We start from the raw sequence: 12,263 nt of genomic DNA, 5'->3' as shown, positions 1-12,263 counted from the left end.
TGCAGACCCGCAGGCAGCTGGGGCCAGAGCTGCAGGCAGGTGTCCCTGCCAGGAACTGAACGGGCACCCGGGATCTACAGGTGCCACCCACTGGGAATCCTCAGCACCTGCAGACACCAGGGACAGAAATGGAGGGACCCCAGCCCGCCTCCCGTGTGTGGCCCATCGTAACCAAGCCGGGCCCCCTCCCCACAGGGCTCCCTGGGTGCGGACCCCTAACAGTAGCTCTCCAAGGAAGAGGGGAATGAAATCCTAAGGAGGGTTTTGAACCAAACTCTGACTGAATTAATAATTCACCTGAGAAATTACTGAAGTAGACAAGGGGAAAGACACAGAGTGGATACGGTTCAGTCAAGAGCCCCAGGCAGATCAGGGGTTTGGAAGGGGAAATGACGGGTCGGGACTCTCAAATATGCGTCTCCCCCCAGGTCCTGCAAGGACCGTCTGCCCACTCTACCCAGAAGAATCAAACGGCATCTCTCCTCCACGAACCACAACTGTGGGACTCACAGGCTTTTCTTTCCTCTTCTCCAGTAGTTTCCCTGCCCAGAGATGTCTCAGGGTTATCATTTTATTTTTTAATTTCTATTTTAGATTTGGGGGTGCATGTGCAGATGTGTTACGTGATTACGTTGCATGATGCTGAGGTCTGGACTTCTCATAAGGACGGTTAATCATTTAAAATTAATAAACCAGCCGGGCACAGTGGTTCCTGCCTGTAATCCCAGCACTTTGGGAGGCCAAGGTGGGAAGATCATTTGAGATCAGGAGTTCGAGACCAGCCTGGCCAACATGGCAAAACCCTATCTCTAATAAAAATACAAAACTTAGCTGGGCATGATGGTTCACACCTGTCATCCCAGCTACTTGGGAGGCTGAGGCAGGAGAATCGCTGGAACCTGGGAGGCAGAGGTTGCAGTGAACCGAGATTGCAACACTGCACTCCAGCCTGGGCAACAGAGACTCTGTCAAAAAAAAAAAAAAAAAAGAAAGAAAAAGAATTCTAAGGGCTAGCCATCAAACCTGACCCTTGATATGCTAGAGGGACATTAGTGACCATTCTCTCTGGAGAAAGTAACCTGGCTGAGAAGACTATTGATTGTTTTGCTTCAAAATCCTATTTTAAATATGCCCCTACTAGATGATCCAGTCATGCTTCTCCTAGAAAAGTTTTAGGATAAATTAAAATGTGTGTGTATATATATATTTGTGTATATATATGTATATATATATATATATTTGTATGAAAATGTTCATCACAGCTTTATTTATTATTGCCAAAAACAGTAAACAACCCAAATATCCATCAACAAATTACATATTCTTTTTTTTTAAGACACTATTTCACTCTGTTGCCTAGGTTGGAGTGCAGTGACACAATCTCAGCTCACTGCAACCTCCACCTCCTGGGTTCAAGCAATTCTTCTGCCTCAGCCTCTTGAGTAGCTGGGACTACAGGCACATGCCACCATGCCCAGCTAATTCTTTTTTTTTTTTTTTTTTGGTAGAGATGGGATTTCACCATGTTGATCAGACTGGTCTCGAATTCCTTACCTCAAGTGATCCGCCTGCTTTGGCCTCCCAAAGTACTGGGATTACAGGCATGAGCCACCACACCTGGCCCAAATTATATATTCATTTAACGGAAGACTCTTCCACAACCAAAGGGACAAGCTACGAGTGCACACAACAGGCAGAAGCGCAAGACAAAATGCTGAGTAAAGAGGCCAGATGAGAGATCATGCACCATACAATTCTGTTTCTGTGACTTTAGAGTAGGAAAACTCATCTGTGACAAAAAAAAAAAAAAAAAAATAGAACAATGTTTGCCAGGGACAGAGGGTAGTGTAGGAATTGACTGTAAAGGGACACCAGGGATCTTTCTGAGGAAAAGGAACTATCTTATGACTTGATAGAGGAAAGGGTGTTTGCATTTGTCAAAACTCATGTAAAGCAGATCTTAATTTAAAACGTCAACGCTATTTGAGTATCAGAAGTGTTTCATTAAATCTACATTGCTATAAGATTCACCATGATTTTATTTACTCCTAGGAAATAAAGGGGAAAAGAGCATCACCACTAAAACTGTGACACACTGTAGGCTGTAAGACACATCTGACTTAGAAATGCTAAATGTGAGGGTTAACATATGTTTTCGAATCAATGATCTTTAAGAGTTTAGTCCTTTCTTTGCGTTTCTCTATAACAATCCTAAACTCATCACTCCCCACAAAACAGGTAGATGCCCCAGGCCAACAAAAATAAAGACTGAGGTCTCAGGAAGACAAAAGAGAAAAGCACGTTAATTATTTTCTAAATATAATTCTTATAAAACAGACATATCAACCCACAGTTCTTAATTAACTTGTTTAAGTTCAAAGTCTGTCACTAATTACTGAACTGTTTTTATTTGATTACTAAAGAGACAAGGATACTCTTCAGCCCCGACTTTAGTGCAAAACTGTTCTCTTTACAGCAAACTGAAATCTGCGTTTATCACATTTAGCTTCTGCTTGTGGAAATCTGTTTAGCAAGCTCCCCTTCTAGAACACAAGTCTCTAGATTACAATGGTTGGTGAATAGTGGAAAGAAATGTCTTTGAACTCAAAATTTATTTTTTCCCCTTATTTAGCAGTGTATCTGGGAAGGTGGAATTTACATTTATTTAATCCTGGGTCCCAATCTCTTCTCTATCGGGATGGATATTCCTCGTTACCATAAAACACAGCTTCTTATCCCCATTATGAGTACTGGCCCCTTCGTTATGCAAATGTGCAGCAGTGAAGCAACTCTGCCCCTGAGGAAAGCGTGTAACAAGACCTTTAATCAATGGAAAGGCCACCCTTCCAGAACTGACCTTTCAGCTTGCAGGGCTTCTCAGTAGGCAGTAAGTAAATTTCCAAAGGCACTTCCTGGGAAGAGAGAATCTGATACCCAGACACCTTCCTTTGTGAGGCTCAATGTGTATAGAATTTCTCTAATATATGAAGATGATCCCAATGAGGTGTGCTGATGGAAAAATACATCACAAGTTACAACACACCGTGAGGTCACAAGAAATCTGTACTGGTGATCCAGGCCCAAAGCCACGTCTTGAATATTTCTGGGAATGGCTAGAACTAGCACAGCACATAAATAAGTCTGTTCTAGTAAACATGCACTGGGAGTTGTTTCTATCAGTATCCAGCCAAGGGGGTAAAAACCTTTCTATGGGCCGAGTGTGGTGGCTCATGCCTGTAATCCCTGCACTTTGGGAGGCAAAGCCAGGCAGATCACCTGAGGTCAGGAGTTCGAGACCAGTGTGGTCAACGTGGCGAAACCCTGTCTCTATTAAAAATACAAAAATTAGCTGGGCATGGTGGTGCATGCCTATAATCCCGGATACTTGGGAGACTGAGGCAGAAGAATCGCTTGAACCCAGGAGGCAGAGGTTGCAATGAGCCAAGATTGCGCCACTGCATTCTAGCCTGGGCAGAGCAAGACTCTGTCTAAAAACAAACAAACTAACTAACAAAAAACCCATCTTTCTATGTATTTGAAACAGAAGGGGATTTAATACAGGCAACTGGTTACACAAGTTTTGGAATTTTTAGCAGAGCAAAAGGTGGGGTTACCTACAGATCAGTGTCTAAAGGAAGTCCCTACTGCCCCCAGAGTTTGAGTTACAAAAGGTATTATTACCAGAGCCTATGAGCACATACTTGCTGCTATGGCTGCTGTTACGGCCACCTCTGCTACCAGGGAGGTGATATTCCTACTGATGTTGAGGATCCTGGAACTCTATGATCCTTCTAAATCTGTTGCCAGGAGTAAAATGGCTTTTGCATTCTTCCTACTTATAATTTTGTGTTATTGAACAAAATCACCTGGACTTAATTGGTAAGAGAGATTAGGAAATGTAGTTTTCAGACTTCTAGACTGAGCAGTAACAGAGAGTATATGGAAGGACTACTATGGGACTTAATACCAACAGTCAATATCTGGCACAGGAAGAATGATTGAATGTGACTGAACTTGAGTGAAACTTCATTAAATTCTTGGACGGGAAATCACCAGGGGCATCACTACAGTAATGGACAGAGATGTATCAGGCCATGCCAAAATTATTTTCAACAGTGACGCTAGTGTATGGTAATATCAGAAACAATAGAAGTAGTAGACTAATTAATGTCGCAAATTCTCTGCCTCTGGTTTTTGTCAGATGTGGTTGGAATGGCCACAGGTTGGCTTCTGTGAATATCAAATTATCTTTCTGACCTCTCTATGGAAAGCGATCTTATAAAATCATTGTTGGCTGTGTGTGGTGGCTCACACCTGTAATCCCAGCACTTTGGGAGGCCAAGGTGGGCAGATCATTTGTTGTCAGGAGTTTGAGACCAGCCTGGCCAACATAGCAAAATCCCATTTCTACTAAAAATACAAAAAAAAGAAAAAAGAAAAATTAGTCATGCATAGTGGCTCATGCCTGTAATCCCAACTACTCAGGAGGCTGAGGCGCAAGAATCACTTGAACCCAAGAGGCAGAGGTTACAGTGAGCTAAGATCATGCCATTGCACTGCAGCCTCGGCAACAGAGCAAGACGCTGTCTCAAAATAATAATAATAATAATAAATGCAGCTGAAAACATTATAGAAGTATGTTAAACAATTAATTTTTAACATATTATTTTTCTAAATTATGTAATATTTGTGTTATTTGCAAACTTGTCAAAATATGTAATTTGTTGTGTTTTATTTTATCATTCCTTCACTTTTATACCTATAAAAAGAGAGAAAGGCTATGGCCCAACCTGCTTTCAATGACCATTAGGACCCCAAACTGCTTTCTGTCCATTCTTTAACTCATTTTATTTTTAATTTGTGTCTTATGTCATTTGAGAAAATAGTCTGGGATTGGCAAGTGGCACTGGTGTTCATTTAAAAATAAATAAAAAGTCTGGCTACAGGGTTGTGCGTTTTAATGCTTGTTTCAAAACAAGCTATTAGTATCCTCAATTTTCTCTATTAATTTTGTTTTAATTTCATTGGCTTCTGCTGGGTTTATTATTTGCTTCATTCTGCTTACTTTCCGTTTTATTTGCTTTTCTTTTTATATTTTCTTTAGGTAGAAGCTGAGATCATTGAGTTGAGATTTTTCTATTTCTCTAATATAGGCATTTAATACTATAAATTTCCCTCTAAGCACCGCTTTAGCTGCATGCCTCAGATTAAATAATGCATTCTCATCTCACTCAGTTAAAAAAAATTTCTACCTTGTGATTTCTTCCTTGACCTGTGGATTATTTGAAAATGTTTTGTTGAATTTTCAAATATTTGAGAATTTTCTAGATGTCATTCTATTAATGATTTTCATTTTAATTATGTTGTGTAGATAATATACTTTATATGATATGAATCCTTTTATGTTTATTGAGGCCCAGAACAGAATCTATTTTCAATGGTTCAGAGAGGGTTCTCTCTTGGTGAACGCTCCATGTGTGTTTGTAAAGAATGTGTATTCTCTCTGCTGTTGTTGGATGGACTGCCTTAAAAGTGTTTTCAGTCTTCTATATTCTTACTGATTTTTTTATCCACTTGTTCTATCAATTACTGAGAGAGGAGTGTTGGACCACACTTCAACAATAATTACAGATTTTTTAAAATGTCTCCCTTTAGTTCTATCAGTTTTTGCTTAATGTGTTTTGAAGCTCTATTATTAAGTACATTCACATATAAGATTGTAATGTCTTCTTGATTAATTTACCCTGTTAGTATGTGATGTCTTTATTTATCTCTGGTAATATTCTTTATCCTGAAGTCCACTTTGTCTGATATTAATGTAGCTATTTTGGGTTTCTTTTTATTAGTGTTGGCATGTTTTTTTTTTTCATTATTTTACTTTTAACCTATCTGTGTCTTTATATTTATAATGGGATTGTTGTAGAAAGAATACAGTTGGGTTCTGCTTTTTAAAATCCAATCCGATAATTTATCTAATTTCTGGAGCTGTTTAAACCATGTATATTTAATTTAATTATTGATATGACCAAATTTAAATCTGTCATCATTCTATGTGTTTTCTATTTGTCCCATCTGTTCCTTGTTCCTTTTTTTCTTATGCCTTGTCCTTGTTTTTGATTAACTGAGTTTTGTTTTGTTTTGTTTGTTTGTTTGTTTTGAGATGGAGTCTTGCTCTGTTGCCCAGGCTGAAGTGCAGTGGTGTTATCTTAGCTCGCCGCAAACTCCGCCTCCCAGTTTCAAGCAATTCTCCTGTCTCAGTCTCCTGAGTAGTTGGGATTATAGGCGTGCACCAACATGCCCAGCTAATTGTCATATTTTTAGTAGAGACAGGGTTTCACCATGTTGGCCAGGCTGGTCTCGAACTCCTGACCTCAGGTGATCCGCCCACTTCAACCTCCCAAAGTGCTAGGATTACAGGTGTGAGTCACTACATCTGGCCAATTAACTGAGTATTTTTATGGTTCCATTTTATCTCTACTCTTGGTTTACTAGCTATACTTTTATTTGTTTTTTAGTGGTTGCCGTAGAATTTATAACATATATTTTTAACTTGTCACAGCCTATCTTCAAATAATATTATAACACTTCCCCTTAAATGCACAATCTTTTAGTAGTATATTTCTATTTTCTCTTTCCCATCCTTTGTGCTGTTATTAAAATGCATTATACTACTACATGTTATAAATCTCATAATATATTATTACTATGTTTGCTTTAGGGAGTTGATTATCTTTTAAAAGAGATTAAAATAAGAAAAAATGTTTTCCATATTTGCCCACATTTTAATATTTTTTTCTGTCACTATGGCAGAACAGTGGTTTCAAGCACTCCTCATTCCTTTGTGTAGATCCAAATTTCTTTCAATTCTCAGATTCCTTCTGCCTGGAGAATTTACTTTAACATTTCCTGTAGTGTAGTACTTACAATGAAAAATTCTCTTCTATTTGCCAAAAAAAACCTTTTTTTATTTATGAAATATTTTCATAATTTAAAAAATGTTCACTGAATATGATTCTAGGTGGATTTTTTCTTTGAATATGTTAAAGATGTCATTCCATTGTCTTCTGCTTGCATAGTGCCTAATGAAAAGTCTGCTTCATAGAATGTCTTCCTTATGGACTATTTCCTTATTCTCTGGCTACCTTCAAAGATTTCCTCTTCACGCTGATTTTCAACAGTTTGTCTAGGATGTGCTCAGGTGTGTTTTTATTCATTTTTATCTTGCTTAGGGTTATCTGAGCTTCTTGGATCTGTGGACTGTTGTTTTTCATTCATCTGGGGAAAACCTCAGCTGTTATCATTTCTTCTGACCTCTTGTCTCTTCTTCTGGGACTCAATTACATGTATGTTAAGCCATTTCATATTATCCTACGGTTTTTGAAATGCTATTATTTTTCTCCTCTCTTTTTACTCCTTAAGTTTCAGTGTGGATAATTTCCACTGACCTCTCTTCACGTTCACCAATTCTTTCTTCTGCTACATTCATTTCATGAATAAGCCTGTTGAAGGAATCCTTTAAAGCTGAGACCATGATTGTATTAGTCTGCTAAGACAAGCTCTATTTCCAAATACAGTGACACTGGGGACTAGGCTTCAATATATAAATTTTGAGATACACAAGTCAGTCTATAACAATCATTTTCATTGCTCATGTTTCATTTAACTCTTTTTTTAGAGTTCCCATCTCTCTGATCAAATTCTCCATCATATATGTTGTCCACCTTTTCACTAGACTCTTTAACATATTAATTAGTTAAAATCTCTGCTAGTTTGAGCATCTGCAGCATCTCTCTGTCTGATTCTGTTGACTGTTTTGTTTTTAGGCTCTCTTAAAATTTGGATTGAATGCTGGACTTTGTGTGTAAAGGAATAGCAGAGACTGAGGTAAATAATACTGACAACTAGAAATGGCTTGTATCTTCTCCTATCAGCTGATTAATGTGGGAGCTGATTCAATTTAGGATCTACCCAAGGCTGGGTTGATGGGCATGTGGCCTGGGCATGTGACACAGGCCGTCATTGCTTAGAAGGGCCCTGAACTTGGTTTGATGCTCTGCTGTTACCACACTAAAATTCTTAGGAATTTTGAACAAGGGACCTCATGTTTTCATTTCTGCACTGGGCCTTGCAAATTATGTAGCTCATAAGTATGTTTTTGTCTGCTTCAGAAAATCTGGAGATAAGAAATTCTCTACAGAAATGATGAAAAAGTCAGGAGGACTTTATGTATCAGTGTTACTAAGTTAGAGAGTACAGATGGTTGAGTAAATATATCCAGTTAATAACATAGTGTTTTTCAAAAGCCACAGAGATCTGCTCTGGAAATTGAAGGTCAGAAACCAGTAATACAACCAGCCATTGCCTCAAAGACATAAACCATAAAAATTTATCAATTAGACCAGGTAGATAATATGACTAGCCAGAATTTCCCTTTAAAATCAGACTCACCAGGTTAAATGAAGAAATGCCCAATATGAATATGTTTTTAATAATGTAATTCTTAGAATAATCTTGTATGCATTATAACTTTATGAATGTTCTTTCTATTACATTATAACTTTAAGTTTCTTACAATAATAAACTTTCTCTTTAAAAATATAATATCACTGTGTGTTCTATATAACTGTAATATAATGAAATTTGTTTTAAATCACAAAAATGTAATGAAGATGTGGGGATAGGCTTACTAGTATGTTAAAATTGATGAAAATAAACAATATACTATATGTCTTTCCTTCCAGCAAGAAAATGAAAACACTATAGCTAACACAAAAGAAATCTACAAGGGAAAAAAATCCAAGCCTATTGAAAATGTATTTTCTCTTTTTAGACATATTGTCAGGAGAAAATTTAGTTGTTAGGGCCTGGCGTGGTGGTTCATGCCATGTAATCCCAGCATGTTGGGAGGCCAAGGTGGGGAGGATCCCTTGAGCCCAGGAGTTCAAGACCAGCCTGGGCAACATAGGGAGGCTCTGTCTCTTAAAAAGAAAAAGAAAAAAAATTAGTTGTTAGAGAAAAACCAAAAAAACAAAAATAATGACAAACAACATAGATGTTCTCCTTCACATTCAATAAATTCAAAGAAAGACAGACCAGGCTGGTTTGGTTCTTCTGGTGTCAGGGACTCACCCTCTTTCCATCTTGTTCCTACTCTATGGATGGCTTGTGGCTTCCATTTTCAAGAATCCTCATGGTCCAGTGTGACTGCTGGGGCTCCAGTCATTATGGCTGCATTCCAACCAGCAAGAAGGAGGAAGGGTTTAGAGTGGCACATTTTCTCCTCTCAAGGCCATTTAAATTAAATCACAAGACATAAAGCACATCTCTTGTTTTCATATTTACTTTGCATCAGTAAACAAAATTTGCCTATTGCTTTTGGGAGAGCATGTAGAGAGAGTTTCTGAAATAAATGAACCTTCTTTTGGGTCTAACAATCTTCCTTAGCTGAGACACCTCAGTCTACCAGGATCCAAATTCTAAATCTGTGCTTGGAGCCAGCTGCGGTGGCTCATGCCTGTAATCCCAACACTTTTTGGGAGGCTGAGATAGGAGGATCACCTGAGCCCAGGAGTTTGAGAATGGCTAGGCAAAACAGCGAGACCCTGTCTCTTAAAAAGTTTTTTAATTAAACTAAATTAAAAAGATAAAATCTAGTATTGGTTATGTATTTTGGAAACAGTTTCATTTTGAAGCCTGTTTACTTTATTTTATTTATTTAAAGCAGCTGTCTTGGATGGCTTTTTAAAAATACTTTGTTTATGACAGCTAGAGAAATAATTTGGCGAAAAAAGAGAGAGAGAAATGACTCTAACTCCAGAGAAGCAAATAAAATAGTTTTAGATTCATAAATAGCTTATGGTTCAACTTAGAAGCCTATAAATTTTTACATTTAAAAAATTATAACATCTATAAAATGTTATACCTTGTAGATATTTTATTTTTAACATTTTAGGTCAAGGACTCTTGAAAGAACTAATAAATAATTATTTGTCAATTTAAAAAAATAGGCTGGGCCTGGTGGTTCATGCCTGTAATCCTAGCACTTTGGGAGGCTGAGGCAGGTGGATCACTTGAGGTCAGGAGCTCGAGACCAGCCTGGCCAACATGGTGAAACCCCGTCTCTACTAAAAATACAAAAATTAGCCGGACGTCTTGGCGTGCTTCTGTAGTCCCAGCTACTCAGGAGGCCGAGGCAGGAAAATCACTTGAACCCAGGAGGTGGAGGCTGTAGTGAGCCGAGATCGTACCACTGCACTCCAGCCTGGGCAACAGAGTGAGACTCTGCCTCAAAATAAATAAATAAATAAATAAATAAATAGGAAAATAAAATAAAATGAAATTCATGAACCAAATTCATTTCAAGTAAATTAAATATTTCTGATTTTCTAACACGGTAGGGGAACAGAAACACTTCTAATAGTTGCCAGGGCTAAAAGACGATTGCTATGAATCAGATGTCGCAAAGGCTATGGCTTGACTTTGACTTGCATGGGATTTTGATTTTTTTCTTTTTCTTTCTTTTCTTTTTTTTTCTTTTGAGACAGAGTCTCACTGTTGCCCAGGCTGGAAGTGCAGTGGTGTGATCTCCTGGCTCACTGCAACCTCTGCCTCCCAGGTTCAAGCAATTCTCCTCCCTCGGCCTCCTGAGTAGCTGGGATTACAGGCATGCATCACCACACCAAGCTAATTTTTATATTTTTAGCAGAGATGGGGTATCACGTTGTTGGGCAGGCTGGTCTTGAACTCCTGACCTCAAGTGATCCACCCACCTCAGCTTCCCAAAGTGCTGGGATTACAGGCATGAGCCACTGCACCCGGGCGGATTTTGATCTTTTTTCTAAAACGATAATCACTGTTTATAAACTGAGAGATTTTACACAAGGACCTATAATTTCAAAGTCTCTTCAAAAACTGAAAATATGCTGGCCTAGTGCCTCGTGCCTGTAATCCCAACACTTTGGGAGGCCAAGAAGGGAGAATTGCTTGAGCCCAAGAGTTCGGCACCAGCCTGGGCAACATGGCAAAATCTGGTCTCTGCAAAAACACAAAAATTAGCCTGGTGAGGTGGCGTGCTCCTGTAGTCCCAGCTACTTGGAAGGCTGAGTCAAGAGGATCATGTAAACCCAGGAGGTAGAGGCTGCAAAGCGCTGTGATCACGCCACTGTACTCCAGCCTGTGTGACAGAGCAAGACCCTATCTCAAAACAAAACAAAAAACCAAACTAAAAATATGAGCGTAGTAGACATGCATTGCTCTCTTATACTCTACCAGAGCTGGCAGCCCACTCCCTCTTGTCTGGTGCCCCCGACCCTGTGGCCTGTACCCTGTAGGCATTTGGGTTTGCAATTCCCAGATACATCTTGGGTTTACATTTTTTAAACCCTGAGGTTCTATCACTCTTCCCTTTCATTTTATCCTGAGATCACTAAGAGATGAACCAAAAAACAAAGGTGAAGGCAGAAAGCTCTTTAAAGATTTCCCTTCTCCCAGGTTCTTACCAGGAGGTAAGGAAGGTAGAGAAGGGTTTGGAGATGGAAGAGAAAGGGCAACCAATCTTTGGTGAGGTGAGGGAAGAGACTGGTGGGCAAGAGGCCACGCTGTGCTCTTAGGAGGATGATGGCAGTAGGGGAATTACAAAGAGGAGGGGACATTAAGCCACTTCCTCTTGGGGCAATATGTTTTATAGTTTTACCATCTTAGCTGGGCATTGTCTTGCTGTAAGAAGGGACAGCAAGAGACCTGGAACATTGCTCCCGGCTGTTGGAACTCCACTCAGGGTGGGGTTTTTGTCTTCACTATCTGTTCATGGGACCTCCCCACCCGCCTTCTCCCCACTCTGGCGTTCTGCCTGGACAGATGGCCCTAGCTTAGTATCACAGATAATATTTCTCCAGACACTCTTCAACCTCTAAATTGTACTTAACATTTTTAGCTAACAACTTTCTCCACAATCACCTTAGATAGTTTACCAAGGACAACATATTATAGAGTATGTGTTGTCTATTTCATACCTAACATGTACTGAGAGCTTATTACATGTTAAGCACTCTTCAAAATGCTTTTGTCGACTCATTTAATCCTCTCAAACACCTTATGGCGTAGGTTCCATTATTTCCATTTTACAGATGAGGAAAGGAAGACACAGAGAAGTTAATAACTTGCCCAAAGGAACCCATTTGGAGATAGATACATGGATAAATATATAGATACAGATGCACACACACAGACGTAAAGCATACATAAATATAAAAGCCAGGCTGGAC

This window comes from Homo sapiens, chromosome 10, assembly GCF_000001405.40.
Source record: "Homo sapiens chromosome 10, GRCh38.p14 Primary Assembly".
In the NCBI taxonomy this organism is placed as follows: Eukaryota; Metazoa; Chordata; class Mammalia; order Primates; family Hominidae; genus Homo; species Homo sapiens.
The sequence above is the reverse complement of the archived record's forward strand: the minus strand, read 5'-3'. Positions refer to the sequence as shown.